Below are 19,265 nucleotides of genomic sequence, written 5' to 3'. Positions count from 1 at the left end.
TAGATATTTTTAACTTTGAAACCCTTCCAAGCCTTCTTGCTGTATATTATGTAAAAGTAGATTTTAAATTTAATTGTTGAACAATAGGAATATCTTTGTAAAGTTTCATAATAAAAGTATTCTGTGGTAAGAGAAGTTTGGAATCATTGCATAATACACCTTCTTGAAGTTTCATAATGTACTTTGTAATTTTAAATACTCTAGAAAGTCTTGCAATAAAGAGCTATTTTTATTTCAACTTTGTGTCTCTAAAATCCATTTGACCAGAGAAACTTTTTTCATGGAATACCTACTTAGATCTAACTCAAATGCCATAAAACACAATTTCAAAAATTCTGGACCTTGCACTCTATCACATTACCAATGCTGTAGTGAATTAGATACTTTTGGAGCTGTGATATGGACATATCTGAGATGCTTTCTAAAACTACATCAAGAAATTTTTTTCTAATAGGCCATAAAATGTATTTTATCTAGAAATATATGGATTCAAACTATTTAAATAATTGTCCAAAAAATGACATAGCAGAAAACATTATCTGGGGAAACATTAAAATTTTGTTGGTTTTTATTTCAATTTACTTGAACTTACAGGCCATCAGAATTTTGTTCTATTTTCATGAGGGCTAGATAAATGCCGATATTGCCTTGCAAATCTGTTAAAAACAATAAACATCTCATGCAGCAATCAAGGTTCTATCTCTATCTGACAAGTTAGAAAATTACTTTTGGGCCGGGTGTGGTGGCTCACACCTGTAATCTCAGCACTTTGGGAGGCCGAGGAGGGCGGATCAAGAGGTCAAGAGATTGAGACGATCCTGGCCAACATGGTGAAACCTCTTCCCTACTAAAAATACAAAAATTAGCTGGGCGCAGTGGCGGGCACCTGTAGTCCCAGCCACTTGGGAGGCTGAGGCAGGAGAATCACTTGAACCTGGGAGGTGGAGGTTGCAGTGAGCCGAGATCACACCACTGCACTCCAGCTGGCGACAGAGCAAGACTCAGTCTCAAAAAAAAAAAGAAAATTACTTTTTTAATTATAGACTGTTACAACATTAGAACATTGGTCGGTTAATTTACCTACGCCTTAAAAAAACTTTATATATTTTAATGTAAGAAGTTCTTTATTTAATTTTGGAGAAAAATGTGAGATTATTGAACATTCTACCTTATTTGAAAAGAAAAGGAATGAAGAGTCAGAATTTGGTGGAGGGGCCTAAATAAGTATCTTTCAGGGTTACAATGGTATAATAGGAAATATTGGAATATTTATTGGCTTGCTTCAGAAAATACTAACACCTTGCCCTAAGCATACAGTTTCTAAAATTAAACATGTTTCTAATTTCCCATTGTTTTCTTATTTTAAGCATAGGGACGCTAATCACTACATTATGGCTAAGGACAACTAGCAAAGACCATTTGATTTATTAAACAAATAGCTACCTTTGACAATTAAAATTAAATCTAAACTTTATATATTTAGATATTTTTAAATTTAATTTAGAATTTAATTGAGAAATTATTATAATATTACTTGGTGGGAAGCCAAATAATTTCTATATATAGATTTTCATATAATGTCTGCATTTTCAGTAGATAGCCTTTACTCCACATCAGTGTGAAACCACTTTTAAAACTATGTCTTCATGTATAAGTAGAAGGATTTAATTATCCCCAATTATTATTTCCCCACTAAGGCGTTTACTGCAACAGAACCTGGGATGGATGGCTCTGCTGGAACGATGTTGCAGCAGGAACTGAATCAATGCAGCTCTGCCCTGATTACTTTCAGGACTTTGATCCATCAGGTAAAAGCAGAAATGTATCTACATATCTCCTTGACATCTATTTAATAAATCCTAGGTTAATTAAATTCCTGTTTTCCCTTTTTTTTTAATTTTAAAGAAAAAGTTACAAAGATCTGTGACCAAGATGGAAACTGGTTTAGACATCCAGCAAGCAACAGAACATGGACAAATTATACCCAGTGTAATGTTAACACCCACGAGAAAGTGAAGGTATGTCATAATTCTGAATTGAAATTTAACTTACAGTATCTGTTTAAACAGCTCCTTTGTCCAATACTGTATTAAAGAAAATAAAGTCATTATTCCATTCCCTTATAAAGCCTTTTCATAATATAATTTGAGAAGAATAAAGAAGAAATATATCCGTGGAAAAAATTATTATTGATTTTGTCATTACACTGAAAAAGCAATCCTTTTAGGTAATAGTGTAATTTACAAGTCAATGTTTCAGTATTGGGGTTTCAAATTTTCCAAAGAAAACATACCTTAAAAGTGTAAGAAAAGGAAAATCTTCCATTTGCAGTGGAATTTCTAGAATGACCTCTGAAACTGTGCTCAAGTAAACAGGATAAGCCCAGCAGGGTTTAAAGAGTCCTGTCCCTCCCTCAGCAGAAGGATCTCATTCTGACTGGGTCTTAGGTTATTCGCACTAACTATCGCATCCTTAAACACTACACATTGGAGTCAAGGTTAATTACAGTTTGGCACTATAATATAGCTTCGATAGAAAACACTTGCATGTATTTGCATGTGTTTGTAATAGAGGCAGTTTATCACAGTGATTACAACTGTGAGTCCTAAAACCTGATTTCTTATTTCTACTTCTTACCAGCTGTTTGACCTTGAAAAAGCCATTTTACATCTCTCTGCTTCAGTCCCCTCATATATGAAATGAGGGTAAGAATAGATTCCATCCTCATTATTTTCATAAGGATTGATTTAACACAAGGGAAATACTTAAAAGATTAGCATATAGTAAGCTCTTGATAACTACCAGCTATCATTATGTTTATAAATAACATATTCCCAGCTTATTCAGGTAAGAATTGGAAGAGAATTATACAAATACACAATAAAGTGGTAGGTTACAAATAAATGGAATGCAGACAAATAAAAATAAAAAAGTGAAAACCATGAGAAAGAACACATTTGTACAGATCATAGAATCTTCTAAGTTAACAAATTGAGATTTGTCTCTGAGCTTCAAATTTGTCAAAGGAAAAAGAAACTCAGTTTGAAAATAAACCTTTATCTGGCATTTACATCTGAACAAAACAAATCATCACGTAGCATTTGTTTGAAGGTGCACAAAATATAAAATACTAGTTTCATATAGTATATAATCTAGATCAATAAAAGTTTTGCCTCATAGATTTAATATTTGACTTCTAATTTTTTAAAAAATTATTAAAAAAATAAAAAGGCATACAACTTATAAATTTTGATAATTTCACTGGATAGATATTTTTCATTCCAGACACGTTCAAGTATTTATTGGTTTGTAAACTCATCATTGTAAGGCTATCAGATCACATATTTCTAAAAATATAGTTTATTCAACTGAATTTGAACTTCTGCATGTGTGGGATTACAGATACTTATAGTATTGATATGAACCAAATTTTTTTGTTTATACAAATTACAGACTGCACTAAATTTGTTTTACCTGACCATAATTGGACACGGATTGTCTATTGCATCACTGCTTATCTCGCTTGGCATATTCTTTTATTTCAAGTAAGTAAATTTAAAATATTTTAAGAAAATTACTAGATGTCTTGGGTGAATGCCCCATCATGTGCATATTTACATCATGTCTGACAAAATATACCAATATAGATGATTTATAATGTTTAAAATAAGTTGAAATAAGTTGATCTTAGCTTTGTAAAATATGTAGAGGAGACTGATGAAATATCTTAACCTGAATTTTACAAAATTAGTAGGCATATAAAAGTGAAGACATATAATAAGAAGGGAGTCCAAACTAATATATAAACCTAACTGTATTTGCTTTGGGAACTGTTAAATAGTATAGGCCTTCTTAATTGTGTGTTTAGCTTTTGGACAATTTTAATAACAGAATAAGTGTCCATTTTAGAAACCGGAATTTTGTGCAAATAATAGCAAAGGCATTTAACATATATCATCAAAAATATAATCTAAATACACTTTGTTTAGGGTTTTTCCTCGTTTGGCGGGTCATCATTAAAAAGGTTTAATTGTACTTTCAATTTTACTTGTAATTCACTCCATTTTGAGGAGGAAGAGTCAGCTCCAATTTTTTGAACAAAGCAATCAACAACCAATTTTAAATTTATAGAAAGTTAAATTCTAAGTCATGCATGCATTATTTTATCCCTTCACATGATTTTCATAACTTTGATCATCAGCATATATATAATCATAGAATTCAGCGTGACAAGAGTAAGTAGCTATGTTTCATTGTATCTTCATCGCATTGTAGTCATCTTCTGCTCCTTTTGCTCCTGTGGCTGCCACCGCCACTGCTGCTCCTTCTCTTTCTTCTTTCTTCTTCTCCTTCTCCTTCTTCTTGTTCTTCTTTTTCCTCCTCCTCCTCCTTCTCTTTCTTGTTTCTTCTTCTCCTTCTCCTTCTTCTTGTTCTTCTTTTTCCTCCTCCTCCTCCTCTTCTCTTATTCCTCTTCCTACCCCTCCTTCTTCCTCCAACTTCCTTCTTCTACTAATTTTAAACAAAGAAGATATATATACCTATAATTTTAATACCCTATTAAGCAATTTCTAACATTTTTCTAGTTTTATTTCATATTGTTTCTACAGTTTTAATTATAGTATTTAAAATATTTTAACTATTTTTATAACAGCATTTTATCATTAGCACTTTATATGTTACTGAACAGTTTTTAAACAATCATTTGAGCAGCTAAATAATTTTTCATTTAGTAGGTGTACAAAAGTTGTTATTATCAATTCTCTATTTTCGACCATTAACATTGCTTTCATTTTTTCAATTAAAAAACACTGCAATGGACATTTTTGACTATAACTTTTCCCATAGTTTGTACTATTTTCTCAGGCTACATTCCCAGAGTCTTGGGATTTCTTGGTCAAAGGGTCTATATCTTTTTATGGCTCTTGAAACACATCATCTCAAAAATATTTCAAAATGAACATGTTCAAAACAAATTCATATTATCTACCTCCTCCTAACCCAAGCTGGTTTTCTTCCAGAGTGACCCATCTTTACAAATGACACTACCAGAAATCCAATCACATTGGCCAGAAATTTAAGAGTAATCTGTGATACATTTCTCTCATTTTTCTTCTCTGTCACTCTTTCCTTATAACCTGTGAACTTAACCTTTTGAAACCCTTCTAATCTATTCCATTTCCTGATCACTACTGCCATCACCAGCAGTCTTGTTCTATCTAGCCTCAGTAAATTCACTTTCTCTCTTCATTTAATTCTAACCAAGGCAGCCAGAATAGTAGTTTCAAATATTTAGATCAAATATTGACCTGATTTTGCCATTCTTTGCTTTAAAATTTTTAGATTTTCCATTGTAATTAATATAAAATCAAAATCATTAACTTGCCCTGCCTGTTCTCTTTGCCTCCTCCCTAGTCTAATTAAATGTATTTATCTTTTAGATTTAAATTTTAGCATCACTTCCTCAGTGAAATCTTCCCGAATTACTTACTGTAATATTTCCAGAATTGCAATTAACGATAGTAGACATAGGGTAAAATTTTAATTAACATTTGGAAGACCACTATCTCTGCAAATTAAAAACTAATACAGCTGAAAGTCTTCAGATTAAATGGTCTCTTTTTATTTTGCATGTCATAAGTTGAAATATCCGAGCACATTAAATTTTTGAAGAAGATAAAGTTGCAAAGTATAATAATTACATTTGCCTGTCAAAACCAGTGGCTACAGGGAAGGACAATGGTTTCTAGAATTCTAAGTCATACAGTCCCAAACAAGTTAGAATTTAGTAAAGATAAGTAAAGTCCTGCACCAATTTCCTAAAGTCAAATGCAAAATTATTTATGTTCCTTCATGTGAAAGAGTCTAAGATTTAATGGAAAATGCTTGCTGTGAACTAATTAGATAAGAGTAGGGCTGCCAAGTGAAAACAATGCTGCAAGCCAAATGATACCAACAAATGTAGAGTATTCAATTTTAAATCTCAAATCAGACCACTTATTCTCCTAGTTCACTATATGAGAGCAAAAGCAAGATATCATAAAAATTAGCTTATCAAGTGAAGAAATTGAAGAAAATATCAACTGATCCGGGCATCAAGGTACCACACCAAGAGTGTTAAGCCAGAAAAAGACAAAATATATAAGGCACAATGTATGATTTCAAGAATCCAAATTACTATAATTGAGAATACAGTTGGTATAATAAACAGAGAAAAAAATAGCTCAATTAAAAAAATTTAAAAAAACGAATATAACTAAACAAAATGTAATGAACCTTGCATTTGCCTTCCTGTCACTCAGGAAAGTTGAAGTAGATGGCTTTCCTATACTGGGTTCATAGCTAGACCTGAGGATCTTTAATGCTCTTTCCACACCCAAGAATCTATGAATGAAACAGTACTTGAATAAAGAGGATTAGAATGAAAGAGTTATCTTTTTAATCAAAATATATAATCTCCATATCAGGGAAGTTGGTATCTGTTAAAGTATTTGGCAAGCTTAAAGCAGTCTACACACATAAACTGTATTTCTTATTGATAAAGAATTGGAATAAAATCATGTTCAATATTTTTATATCTGTATTTATGTATGTTTTATTCAAGAACAAATACTGTTCAACTGATATTCACAAGTAATTTTAAATTTTAATTGAAGGGTTAAAATTTAAAACCAGAGAATGTTTATTTCATCTATAGAGAAGTGCTTTTTAAAAATGATATTGTGTATATATTTACAAAATTATTAACTTTAAAGATGTAACCTGTAGGCACATTCCTCATTCCAAAAGAGGCCAGAAATTTGGTTCTCCCAAATACTGTCCTCGTGTTTTACATATAAATAGGCCAATTTTTTAGAAAAATAATATTTTTTAAAATAAAGATTACTATGTGCAATAAATACATGCATTTGTTATTTGCTAAAATGCCCATGCTTTTAAACAAGATGTATAACATGCTACATTGGCAACACTTTGTTAAAGCAAATGAATGTCTTGCCAATATAAGAAATTTGACCTCTACATAAAAGAAAAAATATGTTTTTCAAATAATTACCTTACTTCCACTTGAAGTTTTCACTGAAAGTACAATTACCTGTTTATTCTATATAGTGAACTGAAAGGAAAAAAAAGAATTTTTCAGTGGCAAGTTAGTATAAGAGGTATGCAGTTGAATTCAGGCATAACTCAATTTTTTTTTTTTTTTTTTTTGAGACGGAGTCTCGCTCTGTCGCCCAGGCCGGACTGCGGACTGCAGTGGCGCAATCTCGGCTCACTGCAAGCTCCGCTTCCCGGGTTCACGCCATTCTCCTGCCTCAGCCTCCCGAGTAGCTGGGACTACAGGCGCCCGCCACCGCGCCCGGCTAATTTTTTGTATTTTTAGTAGAGACGGGGTTTCACCTTGTTAGCCAGGATGGTCTCGATCTCCTGACCTCATGATCCACCCGCCTCGGCCTCCCAAAGTGCTGGGATTACAGGCGTGAGCCACCGCGCCCGGCCAACTCAATTTTAATGGATAGTATAATACAATGATTAAGACATGGGATGTATTCCAAACTTGTCATCACTACTTGCTAATAGTATGGACTTAGCCTGATTTTGCTTTAAATAAGCCCCAGGGATGTGTGTGTGTGTGTTTACAGTGGGTCATGATGTTATTGAAAATACTACGCAAAGTAGACTCATATAGTACCTGGCATTTAGGAGCCCGTCAATGAGTAGTAAGAGTTACTGATTTTTTCATTAGACTATATCAATCATATAGGCACTCAGAATACATTTATGTAGTCATCTGAAATACTCATATAATAGTAATACAAAGTAAAATAAACAAAACAAAACAAAAAAATGAGTGCTATTCTGGAGCTACAAAGACCTGGGGAACACTGAGAAAGGAAAGAACCATTCTAACTCATAGAATCTGAAGATTCCTGAGGTGATACTCTAATTGAAGCAAACACTTCAATGATGGGTAAAACTTCAACAGATAGAAATTATAAGCCATAAGCAGTGAAGAGATCATCTAGTCTCACACCTAATTTTACTTATTTTCTAATTAATTAACATTTTCAAGATTTCTCCTGATCTGTGTTCTAGCTCACTTCATTATTTTAATTGACTCTACAAATCTTTAAAAATGAAGAATTTGAAAAGAGAGAAGCAAAACTGCAAATTTTCCTTTATTATTATCATTCTCAGGCCTTAGGTAAAACATGAGAAACCGTCTTCAAGTAAAACTCATGTATAGCATTTTAAATACTTTCTGTATGTCTAGATGTCATTACAGGAGAGTGTGTTCTTTCTTTCTTTCTTTCTTGTTTTAGAGATAGGCTCTCACTGTGTCACCCAGGCTGGAGTGCAGTGGCAAGATCATAGCTCACTACAGCTTCAAACGCCTGGGCTCAAGCAATCCTCCCCCACCCAGCCTCCCAAGTAGCAAGGACTACAGGCACACACCACCACACCCAGATAATTTTTTAAATATTTTTTTCTTTAGAGATAGGGTTTGATTATATTGCCCAGGCTGGTCTCAAACTCCTGACCTCAAGTGATCCTCCTGCCTCAGCCTCCCAAACTGTCGGGATTACAAGCATGAGCCACTGTGCCCAGCCTGAGAGTGTTCTTCAGACAGGCAGTATTGGTCTCAAATTCCACTTTGTCACTTACTTGCTGTGTAGCGTGGAACATGTTCTTTCATTTTTCTAATCCTCAGTTATACATATTAAAAATGCAGATCATATTAGTATCTACATCATAGATTTGCTATAAAGGCTGAGATAATGGCAGTGTTATCAGTGAGATGCAGTGTTAAGCAGAGCGTCTGATTCAAAAAATGTTATCTATGATTGGCATTGTTCTCACTTCTTATTAGTCCATTACGAGGTTTGAATATAAATATTTAGCCCTGGTAGGTATGTTATACCATTAAGATCTTTAAAAACAAAATTAAATAATACAAGTTCTGGTTTTAAATGGACCATGTTTATAAAGAAAATATTCATGTAGAAAAATAAGTAAACATTGAATGAACATTTTTATAAACAAAATTAATAATTATGTTAGAAAAAACTATGGTTAAGTAAATCAGTCAAAAGTAATAAGATTTTTTTATGACCAGAAGATACCGTGTAGCTTACTCAATTTTTGAATCAATATTAAGGAATTTTTAGTCTTTGAATTTAGATACTTCTAACATTTATTCCATAGAATGATCTACCAGATATGCCACTAGAATTAACGAAAATAATTTTATAAAGCTAGCTTTGTGAGAGCAGGAGTCTCCTCTGCTTTGTTTCTTTACACATCTCGGGGCTTAGCATAGGATCTTGCACATAGTAGGCACTCAATAAATTTTTAAGGAATGAAGACATGAACTGGCTTTGAAGCTTACATATAGGACAGACTTGCCCATGCCTTATTTGTGACCTTCAGCATGTCCCTTAAGATTGTCTGGCCTTATTTGTCTCCATCAACAAAGAAAGGCATTAGACTAAGACTCTAAAATTCAAATCAGTAGAAGCATCTGTGTAAAACAAGATGAAAGACTGCAGCTAGATCCAAAGAAGAGTAGGGCCACCTCAGAAAATATTGAATTTGAATGGTTCATGAATCATGTTCTTGTGGAGTCAGGGGCAATAGAAATTATTAGCTTTCATCCAACTAACCTGAAAACAATTCCTAGAGGAGCTGATGTTTCACATAAAATCATTCACTGTGTATAAAAATACTATTAGCAGATCCTTTCTGTTTCTTAACCCAGTTCCTTATACTGTACTTATTCTTGCTTACTCGGTATGGGAAACTTTTTTCCTCTTCTTTGGTAATTGAGGGTCACTGACCCACCCTAATAAAAACCAAGAACCATACAAAAAGTTGATTTAGGGTACTGTTTGTTATTTTTTATTTAGAGAGAGAAAAGTCTACCACTCATCCATTCTTTAAATTAGAAACAGAGAACACAAAACAGTATTCACCAGATATACTTCAGTTTTATATTAGAGCCAATTAAAGGAACAAGTCAGAGCAGGAGATAAAAAGAAAGGGAACAGAGAGGGAGGGGAAAAGAGAAAGAGACGTAACTTTAGGGCTTGCCAAGCCCTGAGAGGCAATGACTCTTACTCGTAATGATTCTTGGAAAAACAAAGTGGAACCCTTTAGATAAAAAAAAAAAATAAACTCTACTGGAATTAGTTACAAATTATATTTTAATTACCGTTTAAAATCAGAGAGCAGAGCAAATCTCACAACCTAGACAAAAGGCTTCATCTTTTTCCACAGAAAAGAGAGCATATGACATCTACCCAACTTTTATAGGGAAAAAAAAAAAGAAAATGTTGTTGGTTTGTTTTTTTAAAGAACGTCTTTGCTAACATTCAGATACTGACCCCAAACAATTTAGAAGCCAAGTTGCATATTTGGAACTATGTAGACAATGATATCTTTTGTAGGTACTTGCCATAGGTCCCAAATAAAATTCAGAAAAAAATAACCTCTATCCAACTGGTAGACCAAAGCATTCTCAATTTAACTTATTAAAATAACCTGTTAGTGCTTGTATTTCTGCTTCTCAGTACAAATGACCAAAATTCTCATTTTTTCTTAGATCACATCTGAATATATTTAACCAATATTGTGACCTGTTATCTCATTTCCAGTTTCTTCATATTTTTCTTCAATTAGAGCAAGTACAGTTTTTCTTTAAGCTATAACTTTTCTCTGAAAATTGTGCACGATTAATCTTTTCTTTAAAAAAAAAAAATGGAGTCTTGCTCTGTCGCCCAGGCTGGAGTGCAGTGGCGGGATCTTGGCTCACTGCAACCTCTGCTTCCCGGGTTCAAGCGATTCTCCTGCCTCAGCCTCCCACATGATTAATCTTTAAACCATATTTAAACACAGCTAACTATTAATGAAATCCTACGTTGAAACCTATAGAGTTTGCTCTACTAATTACTCTGATGTTGTACCTGTTTTGACAAATTGGAACTTTCGCTTTTCATTTATTTAAAACCTGGCAATACTGCACTGTCAGAGGTTTGACAAGGACTGAGTTCAAAAGTAGTCATCTAGTATTCCCTGAACAGCATACCTGTCACTGCCTACCCAGCATCACCCTTGCTCTCTTAACTCACGGTACGTCCATTTATTCATTGTAAATTTGTTATACACTATGGTCCTGAGATATAGCCTATTCTGCGGTCTGTATCCCAGGCTTTACATTAGATATTATTTATTTAACTTTTTTTTTTTTTTAGACGGAGTCTCGCTCTGTCACCCAGGCTGGAGTGCAGTGGCACGATCTTGGCTCACTGCAAGCTCCCGCCCAGGTTCACAACATTCTCCTGCCTCAGCCTCCTGAGTAGCTGGGACTATGCAGGAGCCCGCCACCATGCCCGGCTACTTTTTTGTAGTTTTAGTAGAGACGGGGTTTCACCGTGTTAGCCAGGATGATCTTGATCTCCTGAATTCGTGATCTGCCCGCCTTGGCCTCCCAAAATGCTGGGATTACAGGCGTGAGAACTATAGGTTTTCTTAAATGTTTTATTGGGTCTATCTCCAAATTAATGAATTTTAATCAGTTAGTGTACATAAAAATCCATCCCTCTCCAACTGAATGTTGTGAGAGGTGAAAACATTCTTATGCCATAAAGTGAGATGGTGCCAAAATGTTTCCAATATGTCCATTTTAGTTATATAATAAAATAATTGCATTTCTACATAAAGTATACGGTTTGAATGCAGACAGAGTAGTGCAAGAAGTAATGGACATGCTTTAACATTAACCTGTCTGCTATAAGGTCATTGCTATTACTGGCTTATGGAGAAGAGTCCCAGGTATGGAAATATAAATACAGTAACTGAATTAGATAATTTGGACTTAAGATATAAAAAATATAAAGCTATAAATCCACATTAAATATCACATATCTTTATTCCTACAGATATATTTGATAAATATGCAAATTCTGAATCATGAATTTAATCTTTTCTGTTTGAGCTAATTAAATGTGCTATTTAATTTAAGCATACCTAAGTTTTCCTGGCAATAGAATGACAATAAATTTTGAAAATTATATCATTATTTGAATAGATTAAAACTTCGTTATTTGAAATAGAAAATAGAAATAAATAACATTTTTTCTCCCAAAAGTCATAATATATTTTACAATCAGGTTTTCCATTATTATAGACAGTTTATTTTTCTCGATCATACCCACAGACATATATGAGAAAGTCAAAGCACACTCTCAAAACTGTAGCATATTTTTAGTATTTAGGAAAAAGAAAAAACAGAATGACTAGATATTATGCTGCTAATATTTGCTGATGAAACATTAAGATGTCAAAAACCAAGAAGGTCTTACATGAAAGAGATGGGAATAATTTAAAAACAGAATAAAGTAAACAATTTTTCATTAATTGTTAAAAAAGCTATATAACACAAAAGAGTATGAACTTCAGAATCAAAAAGCCATTCAGTAAGTGATGTTCTTTGAATTTAATTTACTCATTCTGTAGAATGGAAAAAAAGCCATGGTGGACGTTTACCTTGTACTCTGTCACATGGCCTGTTCTTGCCCCTCAGAAACTTTAAGCTCAGGGCTTTGACAAACAGGGATGTCTTCCCCATTTGGAATACTTCTCTCCTCTATACTCTCTTGTTTCAACTGTATGTTAAGTATTCTTCTCACCCTGGCCACATTCTTTTTGTATCCCTTAGTCCTGTTTTAATTTCTAAAAAGCACATACCACTATCTGGGATTACATTGTTTAATTTATGTGCCTATTTACCCTCTGCTATAGTGTGAGTCACATGAGGTCAGGGTTTTGCTTTGTATTATTCACAACTGTTTCCCCAGTTCTAGTAACAGTGGCCAAAATATTACTATCCAATAGTAAGTGACTAGATGGATTATAAAGTAGTCAGAAGCCTTATTGCTTCCTTGAGAACTTCAAAATTCAAACTCAATAGATCACTTTTTATAAGAGTGTAACCTTGAGAAACTTACCTCCATTTTATTAAAAGACAATAATACTTCAAGGAGTTGTTAAATATGATAGCAACTTTAAAGTGCTTATCTCTATGCTGGGGATAGTCTAAGGGTTTCAAAAATCGTGGCTGCTATTATTATAAATTTTGCCTCTAAAAAGGTTTTTGTTTGGTTGGTTGGTTTTGGAGCCCAAGAATCACAGGTATTCAGAAAGACTTTCTTCTCTTGGTTTCCTGCTCACTAGAAGACCAGGAAAAGCAGTCTTACCAAAGCAGTTCACAAATGGTAGAAAATCAGTTGTCCATACAAAATGGACATGGCTATTCCTTATGCAGTCTGATACTACTATATTTCATTAAATAAGCAGCCCAAGGGCATGGGAAGAGGGAGCATAATGGAGGAAGAGCAATAATTTATCCTCTAGGACCTTCATTGAGCACCTTGGTTGAAATACTCACCCTCTTTCTAATCTGGCCTAATCTAATTTGGATCACCAGCAGCCTCCAAAAGAGAGCTATTGAAAGAGGTTATATCTACTTCTCATATGTAAACATGTGATTCCATCAACTTGAGAGTTCCATTGAATAGACAAAAGATAGTCACACTACTGATTCTTTTAATATACTTGTTGTTTTCTGCCTATGGTTTGTGGCAGTGTTCAGATTGACAGGGCTTTCCTTTTGGATATGTTGCTAGTGTTTTTTGGGGGAAAAGATCTGAGAATTTGGAAATTAAATTAGATAAGCTAGAATAAGAAAGCAATACTTTGTAGACTGTGCTATTCTTATATTGCTTGTACTTTCTCCTTTCATGATTCATTTTGCTCATAATTAGTATTGAGAAAAGTAGTTTGGAAGTTTTTAGCTCATGTCAAAAGCAAATGGAAAACAGAGGCAAGGTTATTGTCCATACTAGTGGCAGAAATTTGAAGATGAAGTACTATAATATTTGGGATCTGCATGATAGTGAACCTGGCAATTTGGCAACAACTATAGAAAGAATGAAATTTCCTGGGAAGATAATTTAGGTTGCTTTATGTATTGCCCTTCATCATATGGAAATTCTGTCTAATGATAATTCTTGTTTGGTAAGAAAAAAAATGACTATTTTTCTGTTTGATTGAGTTACTTAAAACATACTTATTTTAATATAGAGGAAGTTTGACATTACTGAGGTAAACCTGGATGCTATTTTAGTATTTGTACCTAAAAACCATTAGAGCGTTTGATTAAAATCAACCATATGATAATTATGCTAAAAAACAACAGCTAACTTAACATGGAGTGTTTATCATGGGTTAGATGTTATGCTAACATTTTAAGTGATTTATCTCCTCTAACTTTTAAGCCAATCCTATGAAGTACAATTGTTAGCCCTAAATTACAGATTAGGAAATTAAAGATTCAAGATCTTAAATAATTTACCCAAAGTTATACCATCAATAGATGGCAGAGTTCAGATTCACTGTCTGAACTACACATAGTGACTTGACGCTACTTACTTCTAAAATTGTTCCAAAAGTGAATTGAAAGACACGGTTTCATTACATATAAAGCATAATGATTTTGTTGACACAATAACATCAACTGCCTCTGTAACTCTGCTGGCCAAAATTGCATGTTGAAATGGCATTTTAAATGTTGAAATGGCATTTTAAAATAATTATATGTAAAAAATATGAAATACAAACAATCTGGACCCACAAACCCCATTTTCTGTTCTGTGGTTATGCGGGGATAGAAAGGGATATTATAAAATTTAAAGAAATCGAAGGATTTTTGTAAACATTCTCTAAGACTCTAAGATAATTGCTTTCACTATTTTGAATAAAATAAGAATATTTAAGAATTTAAAGTAGGTAAAATTGGTTACAGGTTAATATTTGAAAAAATATACAAATATTTTAGGGCTTCATTTGAACAAACCATGTGTTTACCAATTACATGTTTTTGGTTTTCACTTACAGGTTGATTTTATTTGTACCAATCTACTTACATGTGTTAATGAATATGTTTAGAAGGAAACAATATGCATCATCAGAAAAATCAGTGCCATTTTTACACTAGACATTGATAGAAACCATATGTTACTTAGCATCTGTCTGCATTTGTTTAAGTTGCACAGTGCCTGGAGGTAGAAATGGAAGAAACTAAATAGTATTTTAGGCAGTAGGACATATTTACACAACACAAAATGAAATGATGTGGCGATGGTCCAGTTTACTAAAATTTGGGCAGCTAAACTGGATATCAGAATTTCCAAAGCAGCAGTCTTTGGTTTGAGTTGTATAGGGTGGACTATCTAGTTTGACCACATTATTTCAATAATTGTATAAAACACTCTAAATTAATGTCTTTGTAATGAAATTATTTAATGCATCTTCTTAAGAACTTGTTTTGTCTTGGTATTAAACATTCAGTAAATTTCAAGGGAATTTCATTCTATTATTTCAAAACTTTGCCCATAATGATATTGTTTGGGTCTTAAAAAGAGAAATATGGTATATCCTTTTATCCCATAATAAGAGAATAAGATGTCGTGTGTGTGTGTGTGTGTGTGTGTGTGTGTGTGTGTGTGTGTGGGGTTATACTCACAATAATGACATTTTTGGAAGATAATATATACCAGCAGCTCATTTTTAAGTACTTACCTTTCAAGACAAATTGAGGTGGGAGCAGGGTAAAAAAAATGGAATTCTGAGAGGAACAGAAATATAGACCATCATAGAGGACATTGAACTTTATACAAAGAGGATTAACCTTTAACTGTATACAAGAGGATTAAATTTTTTATCAACTAACTACAGTTAGCATTTTATTTTACTCCCTTCCAATCTTTTCACATGTGAATATTATTAATATAAACAGTTAAAATATAAATGTATTTATTATGTTCCTAGCTCCTATCTTTCAGCTCTTCTATCACGTTATTTATTTTATTTCACTTTTTAATTGACATGAAATAACTGTGCATATTTATGGGGTACATAGTGATGTTTAGAAATCTACAATACATAGTGATTAGATCAGCATAATTAGCATATCCATCTTCCCAAATATTTATAATTTCTTTGTGTTGGGAAAATTCAATATTCTTCTTCTAGCTATCTTTAATTTTTTTCTAATTTTTACTATCATGCAATATGCCCACATAATCCTTCTAGCTATTTAAAACTACTTATTATTAACTATAGTCATCCTACAGTGATATAGAACACTAGAATTTATTCCTCTTTTTTTTTTTTTTTTTTTTGAGACGGAGTCTCGCTCTGTCGCCCAGGCCGGACTGCGGACTGCAGTGGCGCAATCTCGGCTCACTGCAAGCTCCGCTTCCCGGGTTCACGCCATTCTCCTGCCTCAGCCTCCCGAGTAGCTGGGACTACAGGCGCCCGCCACCGCGCCCGGCTAATTTTTTGTATTTTTAGTAGAGACGGGGTTTCACCTTGTTAGCCAGGATGGTCTCGATCTCCTGACCTCATGATCCACCCGCCTCGGCCTCCCAAAGTGCTGGGATTACAGGCGTGAGCCACCGCGCCCGGCCTATTCCTCTTATCTAGCTGTAATTTTGTATCCTTTAACAAATCTCTCCCCATCTCCACTCTCCCCTTACCCTTTCCAGCCTCTAGTTCTACTTTTTTTCTTCTATGCAATCAACTTACTTAAAGCTTCCACAAGTGAGTGAGAGCATGCAGTCTTTCTTTCTGTTCATGGCTTATTTCATTTAATGTAGTGTCCTCCAGTTGCATCCGTAATGTGGTGAATGAGAGAAGTTCATTTTTTTAATGGCAGAATAGTTCTATTTTTGAAAGTCTTCTTTCATGTTTGCTTTCCTTTATTCCAACTTACTTCTTACAAATATATCTTACTTGCTGTTTAAGCAAACCTTCTCAATCTTTTCGTCATAGTTTTAAAACTATGAAATTTTGTTGTTTATAGATATGGACTTAGCCAATGGACTTAGATATATGTGTGCTCAGCAGAAAATGACAAAATCGCCCAGTTAAGAAAAATGCTTTACTTTTTTTCCCTTGATGGTAGCTGAGTTACTTATATTGTATTACTAAAAACATGTATATTTGCATGGATAAGCAGTTCCTCTCTCTAAACAATACTTGGCACTCAATAGACATGGGGTAAGCTCAAAGCAGGCATTTTAAAATAAGACCATATGAACAAATGTTATATGTCTATAACTTTCATAATGGAACACTGATGAATGACAGAAATAAACCACACATAATATAACTGATTTGAAAAGAACATTATTTACTAGACTTTTTCTGATATTCATTAACTCTCTTCATGCTCAATGAACAGAAAGTAATTATGTCACTGCTGTGGCATTTTATCAAAAATACGATTGTCTTTCTCTTAGTGTTGAATTTCTCTAAGTAATAGCAGGAATCATGCCACTCCTTTGTTCAAAAGTTTCAAAGATTCTTTTTTTCTATAGAATATAATCAATAACCTGTAGATAAGCCCTGATTACTGTCTGCGTCACTACTCCTATACACTACAAAGTCAAGCCAAAGTAAACCACTCTTTAATATGAAAATACTAGCTGGTTCCAGTTGTTTCTATTTTGATGGATTCCAGCTGGATTTCACTTATTTGTTGGCATATGAATGTCTTACACACACTCAGCAATCATTCCAAGAGCCATCTTGCCCATGAATCCCTTCATAGAAGTCTTGTAGAAGGAATATATTGACAATTTATAATATTGATTTGGATCAAATATGCCTCCAGGCTCTTTAATTACTAGAGCTATATATAGAATCACAGACCTGTGGCTGGAAGAAAGGTAATTTCAGAGGCAATATACTCTAAACTGAATTTTTAAATATAGAAAACCGTGGCATCCCACCCTAATTCCAATATCCTGGGCACACAGTCTATTTAAGATAAAGAGATTTAGTGATAAAATTAGGTAAAGATCTCCTTAAAGTTTCCAAAATAGAAGCCTTTGGCTTGAATTATATATGGTGGATTATATAGGTTGACCATATTAATAGCATATTTAAAAAAAAAACACACACACACATCATGAAATTTTTTGCCTCTGTAGTGAAATAATTCCTCAGGTCTTCCTTCATATGAGTTCACACTTGACATTAAGTATTCAGGTTCAAGTGGATCCCATACTACTATTTTAAAACTTTATCCATAATAAGCCTTTGAGTAAATGCATTATAAAGGAAGTAGCGCTTGAACACGGGCAGGCAGTCATATATGCACAATCTTCTTAGAGTGGAGGTGGATTCAATCTAAGAGTGACATCAGTTATCATTAGTGACACTTTTTCTTGAAATCTACTTCTATGTGAACTCCACACAGTGAACTCTCTTTTGTTTTATACAAGAGGAACTCTAGTAAAAGGTGGTACTATTTTTACCTTATATATGGCTGCACCAATTAGAAAAATTCAGTAAAGCTGTGCAAATCTCATTGGTTGCTAAATTTACATTTTTATCAATTCATCTATTCTGAGTACTTTGTTATTTTTTCCAGATCGGTCTGTGTAATCACCACCATCACAACAAAACACACAGTTTTATTTAAACAGAACAATATATATGGTGTAATGAAAAAAGTTATCCACATGAGAATCTGACAGCAAATACAAAGTGTTCAAATTAATTAGCTGCAGGAGTTTTGATCAATTATCTAACTTAACTGAATCCCAATGTTTGCAAAATGAATTAAACTATTAATTATGTTCAGAAATTAATAGAGAAAGTCATGTAGAGGACTTGTACAGGCAAATTTTCTATCCCTATGTATATCTACCTCTTCTGGAGCAACTCATTTGTCTCTAGGTTTTAAGCACTTACAGGTTTTCCCTAATTAAGATTTTTGTAATGAGTGGATCTTAGGGAGAAAAAATAATTGTTTCAAAAGTGGATCAGCTGCTATGAATTGGGAATGTATCTTATTTGAATAATGATTAATAAAAAAACATTTCATGATGTCAACACACTTGTTTTTCTTGCTTTTTAGGAGCCTAAGTTGCCAAAGGATTACCTTACACAAAAATCTGTTCTTCTCATTTGTTTGTAACTCTGTTGTAACAATCATTCACCTCACTGCAGTGGCCAACAACCAGGCCTTAGTAGCCACAAATCCTGTAAGTAAACCAAGATTGTGCCCTTGGTTCAAGGGCCTAATGGGAAAGGGGGAACATGGCTGATATATGCATAATGTGTATAATTAAGTACACATATATGTATATTTTCAAGTCTGACATATATATATATTTTCAAGTCTTTATATCTTGGGGAAT

The 19,265-nt window shown here is 33.5% G+C and overlaps 1 protein-coding gene and 1 long non-coding RNA gene across 9 annotated transcripts in view, besides 1 other annotated feature; one reads left to right on the top strand and one right to left on the bottom strand.

Moving 5' to 3' along the window:
* The window catches only part of CALCRL-AS1 (CALCRL and TFPI antisense RNA 1), a 544,253-nt gene that overhangs the window by 165,041 nt on the left and 359,947 nt on the right, over nt 1–19,265 (bottom strand). The window lies entirely within an intron of this gene.
* CALCRL (calcitonin receptor like receptor) overlaps nt 1–19,265 on the top strand; it is a 106,289-nt gene that overhangs the window by 65,768 nt on the left and 21,256 nt on the right. For all 6 annotated transcript variants that reach the window (NM_001271751.2, NM_005795.6, NM_001369434.1 and 3 more), the window contains 4 exons: nt 1,698–1,808; nt 1,906–2,018; nt 3,454–3,545; nt 18,983–19,109. In NM_001271751.2, coding sequence (NP_001258680.1) covers nt 1,698–1,808; nt 1,906–2,018; nt 3,454–3,545; nt 18,983–19,109 — 443 coding nt within the window. The remainder of the gene's footprint in view (nt 1–1,697; nt 1,809–1,905; nt 2,019–3,453; nt 3,546–18,982; nt 19,110–19,265) is intronic.
* Nucleotides 10,897–11,097: a silencer, noted in NCBI's record as "peak3978 fragment used in MPRA reporter construct". NCBI's record gives its function as "represses an SCP1 promoter by STARR-seq MPRAs in K562 erythroleukemia cells {active_cell/tissue: K562}" and the evidence as "EXISTENCE:reporter gene assay evidence [ECO:0000049][PMID:32103011]".

This window comes from Homo sapiens, chromosome 2, assembly GCF_000001405.40.
Source record: "Homo sapiens chromosome 2, GRCh38.p14 Primary Assembly".
Lineage (NCBI taxonomy): Eukaryota > Metazoa > Chordata > Mammalia > Primates > Hominidae > Homo > Homo sapiens.
Note: the sequence above shows the minus strand (reverse complement) of the source record. Positions and strands in the feature narration are given on the sequence as shown.